Below are 17,691 nucleotides of genomic sequence, written 5' to 3'. Positions count from 1 at the left end.
CTTTGTGAGAGGAAGCAAAGAAGGACCTGGGCTTTGGGAAGATCTAAAGACCCAGGAAGGTCTCTGGGTGGGTGAGTGCTTTCTCTGCTGTGGTGGAGCTGGTGACAGTTTATTCTCCCAGGAGGTCCCTGGCTGTGGCTGACAGTTTCTGGAGGGCTGGCAGGCGTCTACCTGTGGCTTTCAGGTTATGAGGATGTCAGCAGGGGCAGCCTTCATCCTCTGCCTTGCACATTCCTTCTGCGGGATGTGAAAGTGCTCCTTGGCTGGGGAAAGGAGATGGTGGAGACATGGAGGAGGGTGTGGGTGGCTTCTTGAACTCTGAGGAGGGGACATACCTTCTAAGTCCTATGTGTTCCTAGGAAAGCCAATAATCATTGCTTCTCCCGCCTTTTTTATGTCATAGACTCTGAGGGACCCATTAAGTACAAACAAATAAGCGTAATAGTCCCTTCTTTACTTCCGGGCCTGAAGGAAAGCCAGCCTCAGCCACCCCTCAGGGTTTGCTGCGTTCTGTTTAGAAAGAGGTCCTTGCGTCCTGGATCCTGGAGCATCAGGAGCTGGGCTTGGCATGAGCTTTTCTGGCCCATCCTGATTTCTATTCAGGCCTTCTTTTTCTCCACCTCACTCCCACGGTCCCCTAATGGTGTGATTGTGATGTGTGTGCATGTGTGTCTGTGTGTGTCAATGACAAACTGTGTTCTCCGTTGCAGGATAAAGCCAAGATGAAACTCCCCTTACTTCTGGCTCTTCTATTTGGGGCAGTTTCTGCTCTTCATCTAAGTAAGTGTTTTTTGCCTTCAGTCTTTCTTTCTCTGTTTTTTCCCTTTCTATGGTAGATGGGGTCAGAGTTACACACCCACCCCCTTCTTTGATCGTCTTCTATTTCTGAATTTCTGTGTGCTTAAAGGGATGGGGACTCTATGGCCAGGAGTTGAAAGGATTTCTCAAGGCGTCTGTTATGTCTGTGGTCTTGGTTCTACTGTGACATTCCCAATTTTGTCCTTTCTCCATTATGCTTACTTTGAGCTTACTGAGTGCCTTCTCTCCTTTAACTCTCTTAGCATCGCCATGAAGTAGGTGGTATTGTATACCCATTTCACAGAAATACAGCTGGTGGATGATGGAACCAGTACCCAAGCCCATGACTGCCCGACTCTAAGTCCATGCTCTTAACCACCTTGACCTTGTCAGGCAGCTTGGGTTCCCCTCATAGAGACTGGGTTCCAGGTTCCCCTTCCCAGGCAGAGTTGAGCACTCTGATGCCCAGGGCAAGGTGTGAGCTGTCTGTGGTTCTGGGGAGGAACAAGGGGAGATGTGAAGGAAGGACACTTAGCTATCCTCCCTGCCAGGGTCTGAGACTTCCACCTTTGAGACCCCTTTGGGTGCTAAGACGCTGCCTGAGGATGAGGAGACACCAGAGCAGGAGATGGAGGAGACCCCTTGCAGGGAGCTGGAGGAAGAGGAGGAGTGGGGCTCTGGAAGTGAAGATGCCTCCAAGAAAGATGGGGCTGTTGAGTCTATCTCAGTGCCAGATATGGTGGACAAAAACCTTACGTGTCCTGAGGAAGAGGACACAGTAAAAGTGGTGGGCATCCCTGGGTGCCAGACCTGCCGCTACCTCCTGGTGAGAAGTCTTCAGACGTTTAGTCAAGCTTGGGTGAGTGGCCTATGGCTGAGGCTGAGGTGGGAGCATGGAACGGGTGTGGGATATGCCCCCAGCATTGCTATCACTGGCTCTTTTTCCCATTGAGGGCCCTGGGGGTGTCAGTAGAACCTGAGCCTCAGAGAGGTGTTGGGGTAAGAGGGGAGGGCCACCTACAAACAGAAGTTGCATTTTGGTCTCCAACCTTCAAATGGTTGTGGCAGGGGAGGGAGGGAATGAATTGTGGGGACTCAAGACCCATGTGAATTCATGTAGGAAGGATGCTCCATTCTTTGTCTTTTATCCTGCCCTGTAGTTTACTTGCCGGAGGTGCTACAGGGGCAACCTGGTTTCCATCCACAACTTCAATATTAATTATCGAATCCAGTGTTCTGTCAGCGCGCTCAACCAGGGTCAAGTCTGGATTGGAGGCAGGATCACAGGCTCGGTAAGAGAAGTGTGAACACTAAATGGGGTGCACCTGCTGATCTCAGCCAGCACTCAGCTTGCATCAGATTTGTCTGTTTTTCTCCTGTATAATCTCCAGAAGAACCAGGGATAGATGGACACCCACAGACAACACTGAGGGGGCTGCCTGGGCATTCAGGGAAGAGCTAAGGATTTAGAATCAGGAGGTTTGGGTCCAAGTTCCTTTCCATCTCTCACTATCTATGTAACTTAAGTTAGCTGGGCATGGTGGTGCATGTCTGTAATCCTAGCTACTTGGGAGGCTGAGGCAGGAGAGTCACTGGAACCTGGGAGACAGAGGTTGCGGTGAGCCGAGATGGAGCCATTGCACTCCAGCCTGGGCAACAAGAGCGAAACTCCGCCTCAAAAATAAATAAATAAATAAATAAAATAAAAAAAAAATTAAAACAAGACCATGAGTTTGTTTCCTCATCTCTAGGATGAGTTGGCAACCCTTGTTCTACCTTTTGTTAGGGCTGGAAGGACAAGCCTGTCACTGGGATGCATAGAATCTGATGGTGATAATTGCCGTGGATCAGCATTTCAGATGACTAGGACAGTTCCCATCATGGTCCAGCAGGGAAGGGCCCATTGCCCGGTGGGCAGCAGAAAGAGCTGGCAGATACGGGGCCAGGTCTGCTTCTCTGCCTTCCCTCTGCCCCATCCCTTCTTCCCCTCTTGCTTTCTCCAGGGTCGCTGCAGACGCTTTCAGTGGGTTGACGGCAGCCGCTGGAACTTTGCATACTGGGCTGCTCACCAGCCCTGGTCCCGCGGTGGTCACTGCGTGGCCCTGTGTACCCGAGGTGAGGTGGGGCTGGGGATGAACGATGGAAAGGTCTGGGAGATGGGAAGTGCCCCAAGGAGGAGATGCTACAAAGAGCCTGACCCTTTGTGGGAGAGGCTTCCTGGGTCTTTTATATACTCTGACTCCACAGCAGTGTGTGGGTGGGAAAAGAGGCCCTCCTGTGGGTTGAGTTGGGATGGACAAGAGGCTGAAAGTCCCTTTCTGTTCTGCCTTCACAGGAGGCCACTGGCGTCGAGCCCACTGCCTCAGAAGACTTCCTTTCATCTGTTCCTACTGAGCTGGTCCCAGCCAGCAGTTCAGAGCTGCCCTCTCCTGGGCAGCTGCCTCCCCTCCTCTGCTTGCCATCCCTCCCTCCACCTCCCTGCAATAAAATGGGTTTTACTGAAATGGATTTATTTTCTCCTCTGATCGCGGATCCACTCTGCTTAGCCCTCATTGAAACTTCTTCCTTATCATCTCTCCCCACACCACAACTTTCATAGAAGTGTCAGAAGCTACTACTCCTTGAGGAGGAGGATGGAGGGTGGAGTTGGGTCTATGGAGCCTTTTGGAGATGGAGGAATGGGCTCAGCTAGTTCTCTTCATAGAACACCTGATTACTGGGCACCTGCATAGTGCTGCCAGGACCTTTCAAGGTTGTAGGTAGACTCCCAATGGCCCAGTTTGCATCTCTGTAACCAAAGGCCTTTTCTCTCTCTCTCTCCAACCCCAGAACTGTGGTTGGTTTTATATGTAAGGAAGTTAACATGTCCCTGGGAACAGTCCACAACATTCAGGAATGAATGTATAAGTACCGCAATCCCCGGCCCCTCAAGTGGAATAAATCTAACATGTATTGGGCACCATTTCCCAGTGGCCTGCTGTGGTAGTTGGCCTTATTCCATGCATTTTTATGGGCTGCCTTCCCTTCCTCAACTGCATTCTCTGCTCCTTCCTACTCTCTGCAACTCCCAAATAAACACTTGTACGCAACTCCCTCTCTCAGGATCTCCTTCTGGGGAAACCTGATATAAGACAGCTTGCCATGCGTCAGACTCTGAATGAGGCCTGGGAATACAAGACATAGTCCTCTGGCACTTGGGATATATGGTTATTTGTAACATAGGCACAAAAACATCTACTAGTTGTTATCGCTTATTGAGCACCCACAACATACCCCCTGCTGTGGCAGGCACCTTGCCTAGATGACCTCATGTGATCAATAATTATGAGCCCTATTTTACAGAACCAGGCTCAGAGAAGTTAGGATCTGTCAAAAGACTTGCCCAAGACTGAACCTCTAAATGCAACTCATATTGAAATTCAACTCTGCTCCAAAGCATGTTACTTTAACCCTTGTGCTTTTACAGCTGGCTACTCTCCCCTTATGGTCACACGGGGATGAAGCACGGGGGGAGGAAAGCCAGACTGTCTCACTCTTGGGTTCATCTTGGGACACAGGACACCAGCCCAGCTGGAGGTGAGGGAGCTTTAATCAGAGGGGAGGGAGGAAGGCATTCTCAACCCCTTCTGTACTAGGGAGGTCAGCAGAAGAAAATAATTCAATGTTCTAAAGCCATTTTTTTCTCCAGCATTCCTCCAATTCATAGATCTTCATATGGGATTAGGGGCTCAGAGAGGGGTGAAACAAGAACTCTATTTTTTTGGAGTGTGGTATAGAGAAGGGATGCTACTTCTCTAAGGTCACATAGTAAGTTGAGAAAGAGAGAGAAATCAAACTCAGGTTCATTTCAACTATTGTTCCACAAGAATCTGTTGATTTCAAAGATGGTGGACTATGGGTTCATCCCTGTGGTGAGTGCTGTGAGGATGCAGCTGAGGTGGAACTTTCACTCCTTGCCCTCTTGGACTTTATATTCTGGTGTGGAAAGGCATTGCTTCCCTTATTTCAATATTAACAACAAAGGGTAATAATATTTCCCATTTATTAAGCATTTACTAGGTGTCAGGTACTGTGCTAAATGTTAGGTGAACTTTGTCTTGTTCCTCATAAATCTCTGCCGCTGTGGGTGTGTACTTTGACAGAAGTTTGACTTCCAGTCCACAGAGATCTTCTTTGGGGGAGTAATATCAAGAAGGGGCACGAAGGAAGCTGCAGGGCTCCTAGTCCCATCCTGTATCTCGACCTAGGCATGTTTACATTGGTGCATTCACTGTGAAGTTTCCCTGAGCAGTCCACTCTATAGTGTGCTTTATAGGAGCACATTGTACATCCATTGAAAAATTTTTCTTGGCCGGGCACGGTGGCTCATGTCTGTAATCCCAGCACTTTGGGAGGCCGAGACAGGCGGATCACCTGAGGTCGGGAGTTTGAGACCTGCCTGACCAACATGGAGAAACCCCGTCTCTACTAAAAATACAAAAAAATTAGCCGGGTGTGGTGGCACATGCCTGTAATCCCAGCTACTCAGGAGGTTGAGGCTGGAGAATCGCTTGAACCTGGGAGGCGAAGGTTGCAGTGAGCCGAGATCGTGCCATTGCACTCCAGCCTGGGCAACAAGAGCGAAACTCCGTCTCAAAAGAAAGAAAGAGATTTTTTCTTTTTCTTAAAAAGTAAAAATCATGAAATAAGGGGACTGGGCTAATATTCCAAAATATGGGTTTGTGTGTGAATTTTCCTCTCCAGTAAGATACTAACTAAGCTCTGTGAAACTGTTTATCTATGGTTCTTTATCATTGAATCCTTGGAGTTCCTTACACTGTGCAGAGCACAGAGTAGGGGCTCAATCAACAGTGCACTCATTGCTTTTTCATAGACAAGGGCCACCCTCACTCAACTCATGTGCCAGGCATAGTTCTGAGAGCTTTGCTTAAGCTGATCTCATTAGAGGTAAGTCTTGTCATTAGCCTTAGTTTACAGATGAGAAAGCTGAGGCAGAGAGGGGCTGACCCTGGAACTTGTGATTTCATTATACATCACCCTACACTGCCTCTCAAGATGGCAAGGCCTACCGTCTGCATAATGAGGGGATGGACTGAATCTTGGAACAAGAGGCGGAGTTTGAAACCCCTGTGAACACAAATGCAAACATTAAGCCAGAGGCTTGGGGTTCCATGGATGCTGAAAGCAATGTTTTCATCATTGGCTAGATCATCTGGGGGTAACACATCTGGGTGTGTCAAAGAAAGCAAAGATTTGGGAGTCAGACAGACTAGGATCTGATGTATCATTTGTTACTAGTTGTGCAAACTTGGATAAGTCATTTGACTTCTCTGAGCTTTTGTAGTACCTATATAGACTAGAGATGGCAATACCCAATTTGTAGGATGACTTTTAAGGATTAAGCTGTTGTTAAGTAACAGATGTAAAAACCTTAATGAAGCATAGTGTCTGGTCCATGGAAGACCTTCAAAAATGTTTTTTCTTGTTTTAAATCAGACAGAAAAGGTCACTGAGGTCATTGGAATATCTTTGCCCAGGGTTTATATACAGTGAAAACAGGATCGACTTGAAAGAGGGAATGGTCTGTTCAGGAGGGAGGTTGATGAGAGGAGGCTAGAGAAACACAGCTATCCGGTGGATAAGGAGCTGGGAGCCTATGGTTCAGGCCTGTCTCTACTTGCTTGTGACCTTGGGCAACTTGTTTAAAGTCTCTGAGATGTCATTTCTCCATCTGTAAAATGAAACAACAAGGCCGGGCATGGTGGCTCCCACCTGTAGTCCCAGCACTTTGGGAGGCCAAGGTGGGTAGATCACCTGAGGTCAGGAGTTCAAGACCAGCCTGGCCAATATAGTGAAACCCCGTCTCTACAAAAATAAAAAAATTATCTGGGCATGATTGCAGGTGCCTCTAATCCCAGCTACTCGGGAGGCTGAGGCCGGAGAATTGCTTGAACCTGGGAGGCGGAGGTTGTAGTGAGCCGAGATCATGCCATTGCACTCCAGCCTAGGTGACGGAGCAAGATTCTGTCTCAAAAAAAAAAAAAAAAAAAAAGAAAAAAGAAAAGAAAAAGAAACAATGAATGAGTGTGAGGCTCATGGTAGTATTGGTTCCTGAGAGTAGCCAACCTTATTGGTCATCCCAGCCACGAAGTGAAATGGTACCCCTGGCTTGGGCCAATGAATGAGGAAGAATAATGGCAAATGGGGGTCTATGCCTCCACCCTCCACCACTAGGGAGGTCTCAAGCTTGAAATCCAGTGACCAGGTTTTTAGGTCCTGGACCTGGCCAGTCCTCCTACAGTCAAGTAGATAAGTGGAGGGTTTGGTCCGTTGGGCTACGGAGATAGTGATCAAGGCCGTTACTCTGCAATCAGACTCAGAAATGGCCTCTCAGTTACTTCTCCATTTGTGGGTCTTTTGGAAGAGCAGAGAAGAGGAAGGAATTTAGGTCTTCTCACCCTCTGGGCTGCCTGTCCCTGCTCCCTGAGCCATGGAGGGCTGGGGTGGAATATGGGGAATAAATCTGTACTTTTTTTTTTTTTTTTTTTTGAGACAGAGTCTCGCTCCGTCGCCCAGGCTGGAGTGCCGTGGCGTGATCTCTGCTCACAGCAGCATCTGCCTCCCGGGTTCAAGTTATTCTTCCACCTCAGTCTCCTGAGTAGCTGGGATTACAGGTGCCCACCACCACGCCCGGCTAATTTTTGTATTTTTAGTAGAGACAGGGTTTCACTGTGTTGGGCAGGCTGGTCTCAAATACCTGACCTCAGGTGATCCACCCGCACATGCCTCCCAAAGTGCTGGAATTACAGGCATGAGCCACCGTGCCCGGTCCTACCAATCTGCACATTTTAATTGACAAGGGTCACCCTCCACTCATGTGCCAGGCATAGTTCTGAGAAGCATCCCACAAGGATGCCTCTGAGTTCACCCTGACAAGTCCACTAGCTCTTGGCAGAGACATCTGGCAAATTCAAGGCTTGAGACATGCTGGCCTCTCTTTAAAGTGCAGCAAATTTTGTCTAGAGCTTGGTCAGTTAAAATTTTGATGTTTTGTTTTGCATTAATTTCAATTTTTAAGAAATGTTGCATTAAAATGTTATTTATCTTGAATAGTAAATTTCTTAGTGTCCCCTTAATTTCTTAGTGTGTCTGAGTTGAGAGCCTCCCCTGCCTGATTCTAGTCCAGACCCTGGGGTGACAGAAGACTGGTGGGAGATGGGAGGTGAGGAGGGGAGTGTTGGTTGGAGAGGATGATCTACAGAGTGCTGGAGAGACTCTGTATGGAGCTTTTCATGCTGCCTGTTTGCCAGCCCTGAAGCTATGCCTTGAGGTTGGGCAAGGTGGCATATCCTAGATCAGAGATCCTCAACTGGGGCCATTTTTCTCCCCAGAGGACATTTGGAAACATGTGGAGACATTTTTGATCATCTGCGGGGGTGGGGAGAGGGGCTACTGACATCTGGTGAGTAGAGACCAGAGGGACCATTAAACTTTCTACAACGCCCAGGACAGCCCCTCCACAATAAAGAGTTATTTGACCTCACATATTAATAGCACAAAGTTGAGGAACCTTGATCTAGATCCACAGCACAGAAGAAAGGATGTAGATTTTTCACACATTAAAGATGAGAAAGCTTGTGCCTGTAATCCCTGTGACTCAGGAGGCTGTGGCAGGAGGATTACTTGAGCCCAGGAATTCAGGGTTACAGTGAACTATCATCGCAGCACTGCACTCCAGCCTGGGTGACAGAGCAAGATTTTGTCTCTTAAAAAAAAAAAAGATGAGGACAGGCACAGTGGCTCATGCCTGTAATCCCAGCATTTTGGGAGGCCGAAGTGGGTGGATCACGAGGTCAGGAGTTCAAGACCAGCCTGGCCAGCATAGTGAAACCCCATCTCTACTAAAAATACAAAAAATTAGCCAGCTACTTGGGAGGCTGAGGCAGGAGAAGCGCTTGAACCCGGGAGGTGGAGCTTGCAGTGAGCCAAAATCTTGCCATTGCACTCCAGCCTGGGCGACAGAGCAAGACTCCGTCTCAAAAAGAAAAAAAAAAAAGATGAGAAAGAGGAAGGGAGAGAAAAAAGAGAGAGAGGAAAGAAAGAGAGAAGGTTTTGGAGTCAAAAAGACTTAGAAATTCCAGTTCTTCCACTTCCCATGGAACCTTGGCAAGTTGCCTTCTCTCTTTCTCTGAATCTCACATTTTGCCTCTGTGAAGTAGGGGTGGTACCTGGTGGAGATGATGCGGAGATGAGGGTGAGGGGTGTGTTGCACACTATGCCCCTAGGATGGGTGAGAGCTTGGGAGCACTGAACCTCCCTTTCCCCTCTTGTTTCTTCCCCCCATTGTCTCCCACCAGCTCCCTGGGATCTCCACTTCACTCTCTGGGATTCCACCAGCAGGAGGCTACTCCTGGAGTTAAGGCGTGTTGTTCAGACTGGGGCATTTTAGGGGGCATAAATAATAATTATGCCTGGACAATGGACATAACATCTAGGGCCTTCTGAAGCAAACCAGGGTGTGGGGTACCCAAACAAGGCAGTAGGCCCCAGGAGGCAGGTCCCTGCAGTCCCAGCAGAGAGCAGGGCACAGGGTTGAGAAGACTGAGCAAACTTCATTATCAGCTCCTTTGTCCCCCACTCTGTCCTGGAGCAATCATTCTGGCCTCTTCCCACTTCCCCAAAAACCCAGTATAAAGGCTGCTTCTGGCCCCTGAAGCCAGAGGCACTGAGAGTGGAGGTCTCAGACTCTTGGAAGGTGAGTTCTTTTCTGGCTGCCCAGGCAGGACCAGTGTAGGCCCTGGGAAGAAGCAGCACCTCATAGGGCAAACACGTAGGAGGCCTGTCCTTAGGAACATCATAGCTAAGCAGACCTGTCCCCGCAGGGGCAGGAGTCTGGGCTAAGGGTGATACTGGAGAGCAGCAACGGAGACTGGAAGACAAATGAAATTTGGTACCTGAGTTATCCCTCCCACCATTCCTTTTCTAGACTCTCCAGCTCAGGGTCTGTTCATGGCAAGAGGAGAAAGCAATCTTGTTTGCTCTTTAATCAAACAATTAAACAAATATTCCCTCTATACTATGTGCCAGGGGCTATACTAGACACACAAAGACAGCCCCAAGAAGGACGGTGGAGTAGTGTCCTCGCTAAAAGACAGTAGATATGCAATGCCTCTTGCTCCTGCCCTTTCTCCTGCTGGGAACAGTTTCTGCTCTTCATCTGGGTAAGTCTCTCCCTTCCCTCCTCATGCGTCTTTCCCTTTTTTCCTTTTTCCTACACTCCCCTCCCCCCGCTTTTATTTGCACTCATGAGGCCAGGACCACAGCCTTCCCTCTTTAGCTGATACAGCTCATCTCCGGTAAGATATCACTTGGACTCAGAACTGTAACCTGGAACTTTCTCTTTTTTGTTTGATTTTTTTTTGTTGTTGTTGTTTTTGTTTTTTTTTTTGTTTGTTTTTTGTTTTGTTTTGAGACGGAGTCTCGCTCTGTTGCCCAGGCTGGAGTGCAGTGGCGCGATCTCGGCTCACCACAAACTCCGCCTCCCGGGTTCAAGCAATTCTTCTGCCTCAGCCTCCTGAGTAGCTGGGACTACAGGCACATGCCACCACGCCTGGCTAATCTTTGTATTTTTAGTAGAGATGGGGTTTCACCATATTTGCCAGGCTGGTCTCAAACTCCTAACCTTGTGATTCGCCCGCCCCGGCCTCCCAAAGTGCTGGGATTACAGGCGTGAGCCACCGCACCCGGCAAACTGTAACCTGAACTTTCAGAAGGAAAAACCACCCACCTGTTAAGATGAAGGGCTGGTGACTGCCCCAGGCTTCTCACACGTGCTTTCTCCCACCTTCAAAACACACACTCGTGGTGTCGGCCAGAAGTCAGGTTCTTGTCCATTTGTGGGTGTGACCCGAGAGATCTCTCCTTACCTAACACCAAGGAAATCCTCCAGTCTTGTCTTCAGGTGGAATTCCTAGGAAAGCTCGAGCGACGTTGCTGGAGCTGTCCACGGTGCTGGAACTAGGAAGCTCTTGACCTGATGGCAGGTTACCTCTTCTTCCCAGAGAATGATGCCCCCCATCTGGAGAGCCTAGAGACACAGGCAGACCTAGGCCAGGATCTGGATAGTTCAAAGGAGCAGGAGAGAGACTTGGCTCTGACGGAGGAGGTGATTCAGGCAGAGGGAGAGGAGGTCAAGGCTTCTGCCTGTCAAGACAACTTTGAGGATGAGGAAGCCATGGAGTCGGACCCAGCTGCCTTAGACAAGGACTTCCAGTGCCCCAGGGAAGAAGACATTGTTGAAGTGCAGGGAAGTCCAAGGTGCAAGATCTGCCGCTACCTATTGGTGCGGACTCCTAAAACTTTTGCAGAAGCTCAGGTAAGTAGTAGGGAGGCTACTGCGGAGGACCTGGGGGAAAAGAGAGTACATTCAGTCTTCTGTTCCCTATTCATTTAGGCTAGTGGTTCTCAAAGCCTCGCATGCATCAGAATCACCTGGAGTTGTTGTTAAAACACAGCTTTCTGGGCCTCACCTGCACGACTTCTGATTTAGGAGGGCTGAGGTGAAGCCTGAGAATTTGCATTTACAACAAATCCCCAGGTGATGATGATATTGTTGGTCTGGGGAGAACCACCGATTTAAACAAAAGGCTTTGGTGTTAGAAACGCCTGTGTTAAATTCTGGTTCTGCCTTTTATTAGCTGTGTTACCTGGGCAAGTTGCTTTGCCTTTCAAAGCTTTAGCACCTTCATTTGTAAAACGAAGATATATAGCACCAACTTCTTAGAGTTGTGGTGAGCATTAAATGAGATAATACATGAAAAGTGTTTGGAATAGTCACTGGGCTGTAATAAACTCTCAATAAGCGGTGGTTATAATTATTATGAGTATTATCATTTCCTGTAGGATTGTCCTGACAGCTAATTAAGAAGCAAAAGATAGGATTAAGGGAGGCAAGTAGGTTTATTTTTAACCTGAAAAGGGATGCCGGGCTCTTGCCTGGAGACTCAGAAACTTGAAATAAATGAGAGGGAATTCTCTACTTTGTTTCCGTCTGCAGAATGTCTGCAGCAGATGCTACGGAGGCAACCTTGTCTCTATCCATGACTTCAACTTCAACTATCGCATTCAGTGCTGCACTAGCACAGTCAACCAAGCCCAGGTCTGGATTGGAGGCAACCTCAGGGGCTGGGTAAGTCAGGGGCCAAATCTTGGGTGCAGTAAGTTCTTTCTGAATGTGTTAAAGTAGCATCTGATGGTGCCAAGCCTCAGGCCAGCAGCTAAGGTTTCCTTAATGTGGCAGGCAATGATGTGCTGGAGATGGCTTGTACTGGCTCAGGAGAACTGATGGTGCACATCTCTTACCAACTCCATGCTCAGTGACTACATGCTTGCAGCTTGACATCAGCCATGGTGGGAGTATTTACACAAAGGAAATAGGCAATTGCTACACATCAGGGCTCCTTTCTACTCCCCATCCTCCCACCCACCCCAAGAGCTGGTATAAACATTTACCAGCATACCACTGGAGTCATGAGACAGAGTCCAGGCCCAGCTTAGTCACTTAGAAAGCTAGTTAAATAGGTTTCTTGGAGCCTCTGTTTTTTTTCAATCCCTGAAATGGGGACCTTCTTCTCTCAGGGTGGTTCTGGAATTGTGGGTGAATAAGTGGCATTATATTTGGTACGGTCCATAGATCAGCAGTATGGTCCATAGATCAGCAGTACCACCATCCCCTGGGAGCTTGTTAGAACTGCAGAATCTTGGACCCCACCACAGACCTCTTGAATCAGAACCTCCATTTTAACAAGATCCCCAGGAGATAACGTACGCACAGTAAAGTTTGAGAAGCCTGCTCTGTGTGATGGCTGAGAGAGATGGTTGCTCTTCCTGTCATTGCCTGGAAACTCTTAGGAATGGCTCTCTAGGGTGTCTGGCTCCTGGCCAGGTAGGCAGTGAGAGAAGTCAACAGGGGGTATTCCATGAGGTCCTGGATCTGAACTTCTGCCCTCTGACCTAGCCTGTCACTTCTCTAGTTCCTGTGGAAGCGGTTTTGCTGGACTGATGGGAGCCACTGGAATTTTGCTTACTGGTCCCCAGGGCAACCTGGGAATGGGCAAGGCTCCTGTGTGGCCCTATGCACCAAAGGTGAGGGGGAAGGGCACCAGGGCAGGGAGAAGGGATAGTAAAGTGGATTCTTAATACTACCCCTTTGAGCTGCCTGAACACACCTCCCCAAACTCAGACCCTCCCGCTGACTGAAGAACAAAAGTCCTGTGTGTAAGGAGGGCTGAGACATAGGGAATCCTCAAAGCAAAACCAGGTGATAGGAGTTCTGGAGACAGGGGGGTGGGCTGGATGGTGTGTGTGTGGGAAAATTCTTTGCCTCCTTTGATATGAGGGCAATAAATTCGAACAACAGGTATGACCAATGAGAGTAGCGGAAGTGGATATAAGGCGTGGATGAGAGAAAAGGAAGGATGGGGGAATTAGGGATGGCTGAGAGACAAGATGCCCACCTCCAACAGCAGACATGGGCAGCAGCATGGGTGCCAGATGTGAGTTTAGTATAGTGGCTGAGACCATATGTGCTAGAGCAAGACTGCTGCAGTTCACATCCCAGTGCTGCCACTTGCCAACTGAGATACAGGCACGTTGTTTATCTCTACTAAGCCCCCGTTTCCTCATCTGTGAAATGGGGATGATGACAGCACCCACCTCTTGGAGTCATGGTAAGGATTAAATGCAATAGTCCACCTAAGTCCATCTAATGCAGTTAGCACACAGCCTAGCTAGCAGTAAGAGCTCAGCAAATGTGAGCCAGTAGGGATGTGGGGCAAGCACACAGCTGGCAGATGACGATGGCCATAGATGGGGACATAGGGGGCCCCTGAGGAGGGAAAGAGGTGAAGCCCAGGCCAGACCCCGCAGGGCGGTGGACTTCACTGTGCTCTGTGCTGCTAGGAGGTTATTGGCGACGAGCTCAATGCGACAAGCAACTGCCCTTCGTCTGCTCCTTCTAAGCCAGCGGCACGGAGACCCTGCCAGCAGCTCCCTCCCGTCCCCCAACCTCTCCTGCTCATAAATCCAGACTTCCCACAGCATTTCCTGACTCTCGTTTCTTTATTGCTCACTTTGGGGATTACTCCAGTTCGGAAAAATCCTGGAAGCATTCACTCTCGGGAAAGTGAGCCATGGCCGAGTAGGGCGGCCCGGTGGGGGCTGGCGGCGGCGCTGGGCGGCAGAGCGGGACCTGGGGCGGCCGGAAGGCCTCCCCGGGCGTGGGGTAGGGTTGGGAGGATGGGGACAGGGGTGTGGGTGGTGGGAGTAGAGGTGGTGGAGATGGTTTGGGAGTAGGGGTGGGAGTGGGAGGTGGGGGGATGGGAGTAGGGGTGGGGGGATGGGTTTAGGGATGGTGTGGTGCAGGTGAGGGGTTGGAAGTAGGGGTAGGGGTGGGAGGTGGGGGGATGGGAGTAGGGGTGGGAGTGGGGACGTGAGGGGTTAGGAGTAGGGGTGGGGGTGGGAGATGGGGGGATGGAAGTAGGGATGGGTGTGGTGCAGGTGAGGGGTTGGGATTAGGGTTAGGGGTGGGAGATGGGGGATGGGAGTAGGGATGGGTGTGATAGAGGTGAGGGGTTGGGAGTATGGGTAAGGATTGGGGAGTGGGGGGTGGGAGTAGAAGTGGTGGAGATGGTGGTGGGGATGGGAGTAGGGTTGGGTGTGATGGAGGGAGGGGTTGGGAGTATGGGTAAGGACTGGGGGAGTGGGGGATGGGAGCTCAGTTGGTGTGGGGTGCTTTGCTGGTCCTCTTGCTTTGTTTGGATTCAGTATGCGGTGCAGGGTGGGGTGGCTTTCCAAAATAAAGGTGATGGAGCTGTTTTAAGAGTTGGTGTGGAACACTGAGGTCCCACCTAGGGGACAACACGAGGAAGTGGGGAGAAAGCAGTCTTGTCTTGGGGCAGACTGCTCCTCTGGCCCTATGCCTTTCTGGCTTCTGGTAATGGCCCCCAATTTTATTTCCAGCCACCTCTGTGAGTCCCCAGCCTCCTCTGAGGCATGTTCCCCATCCATTCCCAGGAGGGTGGTGGTCCTCCCCTTCCTTCCTCCTGGCCTACCTCTGTAGAGGGGCCACATCCTTAGGAGGGAGCGACTTCTCCCCAGCAGGGCCCTGGGCACAAAGCCAGGGTGTCTGGTAGTTCCCATTCCCAGTTCTGCAGCCCCAGGCCTCTGTGTCTCTCCGTCCCCCACTTTCTCAGACCCTGGGGACATTGAGAGACATTATTGTTGTTGCTATTAACTTTGTCACAGATGAGGTACTGGGCTCCAGGAAGGATGTAGAGTTGATGAAGTAGGAAACTCAGAACTGAGACTGGGTATCAAGACGGTAGAGAGCCCTGGATTGTAGGGGGTGGAGGCAGTGGGGAGAGACAGACTTCTTGGGAGTGTGTTTCCACATGGGGCCCAGGGAGAATACAAAAGTATTTCTGTGTGTGCACATGTACATGTGTGCGTATATATCTTGGTGTGTACATGTGTCAGTGTTTGTGTACATGTGTATACCTGTATATGTGTGAATTTGTATATGTAAATGTGCATAAATCTGTGAGTCAGTATGAATTTGCATGTTGAGTATGCATATGTTTATATATCTCTGTGTATTTATGGATATGTCTGTCTGCGTACACCTGTGAATGCATATGTCTCCATAGCTTTGCAGCCTTATGTTCCCAAATCTCTCTGTGTATGCATATGTGTCTTCCTCTGTGTCTTTGACTGGTATGTATGTGGGTGGGTATATGTCTCAGTGTGTGTCTGAGCATAACTGCATACAGGACTATGTTTGTGTGTTTGTGTATATCTGTACCAGCATCTGATGGGATGTGGTTTCAGGAGCGAAAAGAACTTTTCCCAGATGTGCTGTGTTTCTAAGGGTGCTAAAGTTGAGGGGACAGGATCAGAGAGCCCTGGGGAAAGTGGGTGATGGAGAAAGCAGAGAGATGAGGCCCTTCAACATGGGCAGGCCTCTGGCAGCAGGAGAATGGGTGCTGTCATTGCCAGGGACTTTACCCATGCTGGGCCCCAGGGACTGTCTCTACATGAAAAGGCCTGTCCTCAGTAGAGGGGTCTGTCCAACTGCCATGGATGGAAATTGGGTCAGGCAGCTCCTAATCACAGCATGTCAAGTGGTCCTTCTCCCAAAGGGCATGGAAGGGGAGCTACCTGGGATTAGGGCCCCACACAGATCCACACACTACACACTACAATAGTCCCTTCTTTTTTTTTTTTTTTAACTTTTATTTTAGGTTCATGGGTACATGTGCAGGTTTGTTACACAGGTAAACTCATGTCACGGCGGTTTATTTGTTGTTCAGATTATTTCATCACCCAGGTACTAAGCCTACTACCCAATTTTTTTTTTTTTTTTTTTTTTTTTTTTTTTTTTTTTGAGACAGAGTCTCACTCTGTCGCCCAGGCTGGAGTGCAGTCGCACAATCTCGGCTCACTGCAAGCTCCGCCTACCTGGTTCACGCCATTCTCCTGCCTCAGCCTCCCGAGTAGCTGAGACTACAGGCACCCGCCACCACACCCGGCTAATTTTTTGTATTTTTAGTAGAGATGGGGTTTCACAGGATGGTCTCGATCTCCTGACCTCGTGATCCGCCCACCCTGGCCTCCCAAAGTGCTGGGATTACAGGCGTGAGCCACTGCTCCTGGCCTACCCAATATTTTTCTGCTCTTCCCCCTCCGCCTACCCTTCACCCTCAAGGAGACCCCAGTGTCTGTTGTTCCTTTCTTTGTGTTCATGAGTTCTCATCCTTTAGCTCCTACTTATAAGTGAAAACATGAAGTATTTGGTTTTCTGTTTCTGCTTTAGTTTGCTAAGGATAATGGTCTCTAGCTCCACCCATGTTCCCAAAAAAGACATGATCTTGTTCTTTTTATGACTGCATCGTATTCCACAGTGTATATGTACCACATTTTCTTTTTCTAATTTGTCATTGATGGGCATTTAGGCTTATTCCATGTCTTTGCTATTGTGAATAATGCTGCAATAAACATTCTCGTGCCTGTGTCTTCATGGTACAATGATTTATGTTCCTCTGAGGATACACCCAGTAATGGGATTGCTGGGTCCAGTGGTAGTTCTGTTCTTAGCTCTTTGAGGAATCGCCATGCTGCTTTCCACAATGGCTGAACTAATTTACGCCCCCACCAAGGGAGCACGTGTTCCCCTTTCTCCACAACCTCACCAGCATCTGTTATTTTTTGACTTTTTAGTAATAGCCATTCTGACTGGTGAGATGGTATCTCGTCGTAGTTTTGATTTGCATTTCTCTAATGATCAGTGATACTGAGCTTTTCTTTTTTATATGAATAAGCCCATTCTTTTTCTTTTTTTCCTATTGGAGAGTCATGCTTTAGAATAAGCCCACTTTTGATGCTATGCTTCTAGAAGAACAGTGTTGTCTGTCTGTGGGGGTGGGAAGGACAGGCGATAAAGGAAGTTCTGTGCACGTGGTCTGGGGATTGGGATTTCAGCTGAATGCCAAGCCCTTTGTATAACCTCTACTTATCTCCCTGATGGAGAACGAACTTTAGCCAAATCCAGTAGCCCAACATCCTGCCAGTCAAAACCAGGGGTAGAGGTAGGGAGGGGAAAGAAGAGGGGCTAAGACTCCTCCAGACTGAAGCTTACTTGAGGCAGACCAGGGTAGATAAGATGTCCCTCAAATCTCCAGCACGATCTAGCATTAGGCCTCAACGTCAATTCTTATATTTTCATTCCTTTGGCTGATTAAGGCCTTCCAGTCTTGAATAACCCCTGATTAAAAAGGAAATACTCTTGAGAGAAGAAATTCCCCAGAATGTTATCTATTAATACCCCTGGAAGGCTGA

The 17,691-nt window shown here is 49.0% G+C and overlaps 2 protein-coding genes across 5 annotated transcripts, besides 1 other annotated feature; both read left to right on the top strand.

Annotated features, from left to right (window-relative positions):
* The first annotated feature begins 16 nt into the window (after window positions 1-16).
* PRG2 (proteoglycan 2, pro eosinophil major basic protein) lies at window positions 17-3,887 on the top strand. 4 transcript variants are annotated; one of them, NM_001302926.2, is made up of 6 exons: window positions 17-67; window positions 711-780; window positions 1,350-1,657; window positions 1,959-2,090; window positions 2,802-2,913; window positions 3,134-3,887. In NM_001302926.2, exons 2-6 carry the CDS (start codon window positions 723-725, stop codon window positions 3,190-3,192), a joined length of 669 nt encoding a protein of 222 aa, NP_001289855.1. In that variant the 5' UTR covers window positions 17-67; window positions 711-722; the 3' UTR covers window positions 3,193-3,887. The 4 variants fall into 4 exon arrangements, with proteins under 4 accessions (NP_001289855.1, NP_001230174.1, NP_002719.3 ...); NM_001243245.3 differs by having other exon boundaries at window positions 17-71; window positions 1,350-1,624; NM_002728.6 differs by having other exon boundaries at window positions 17-71.
* A 5,629-nt stretch (window positions 3,888-9,516) lies between these two features.
* Window positions 9,517-13,898, top strand: PRG3 (proteoglycan 3, pro eosinophil major basic protein 2). The gene is made up of 6 exons (NM_006093.4): window positions 9,517-9,553; window positions 9,886-10,019; window positions 10,860-11,173; window positions 11,855-11,986; window positions 12,831-12,942; window positions 13,759-13,898. The coding sequence occupies exons 2-6, from the start codon at window positions 9,959-9,961 to the stop codon at window positions 13,815-13,817; spliced, it is 678 nt and encodes a 225-aa protein (NP_006084.2). The 5' UTR covers window positions 9,517-9,553; window positions 9,886-9,958; the 3' UTR covers window positions 13,818-13,898.
* Window positions 10,129-11,328: an enhancer, noted in NCBI's record as "BRD4-independent group 4 enhancer chr11:57146812-57148011 (GRCh37/hg19 assembly coordinates)". NCBI's record gives its function as "activates an origin of replication core promoter dependent on BRD2, P300/CBP, MED14 and CDK7 cofactors, and independent of BRD4, by STARR-seq in HCT116 cells {active_cell/tissue: HCT116}" and the evidence as "EXISTENCE:reporter gene assay evidence [ECO:0000049][PMID:35650434]".
* Window positions 13,899-17,691: the final 3,793 nt, after the last annotated feature.

This window comes from Homo sapiens, chromosome 11 (genome assembly GCF_000001405.40).
Source record: "Homo sapiens chromosome 11, GRCh38.p14 Primary Assembly".
Classification (NCBI taxonomy): domain Eukaryota; kingdom Metazoa; phylum Chordata; class Mammalia; order Primates; family Hominidae; genus Homo; species Homo sapiens.
This window is presented reverse-complemented; position numbering and strand designations above follow the sequence as displayed.

Coding starts and splice junctions, on each gene's coding strand:
- PRG2 (NM_001302926.2), top strand. CDS start 723: ATGAAACTCCCCTTACTTCTGGCTCTTCTATTTGGGGCAGTTTCTGCT. Junction 1,658..1,958: donor AGACGTTTAGTCAAGCTTGG/GTGAGTGGCCTA, acceptor CCTGCCCTGTAG/TTTACTTGCCGGAGGTGCTA. Junction 2,914..3,133: donor CGTGGCCCTGTGTACCCGAG/GTGAGGTGGGGC, acceptor CTGCCTTCACAG/GAGGCCACTGGCGTCGAGCC.
- PRG3 (NM_006093.4), top strand. CDS start 9,959: ATGCAATGCCTCTTGCTCCTGCCCTTTCTCCTGCTGGGAACAGTTTCT. Junction 10,020..10,859: donor AGTTTCTGCTCTTCATCTGG/GTAAGTCTCTCC, acceptor TCTTCTTCCCAG/AGAATGATGCCCCCCATCTG. Junction 11,987..12,830: donor GAGGCAACCTCAGGGGCTGG/GTAAGTCAGGGG, acceptor TCACTTCTCTAG/TTCCTGTGGAAGCGGTTTTG.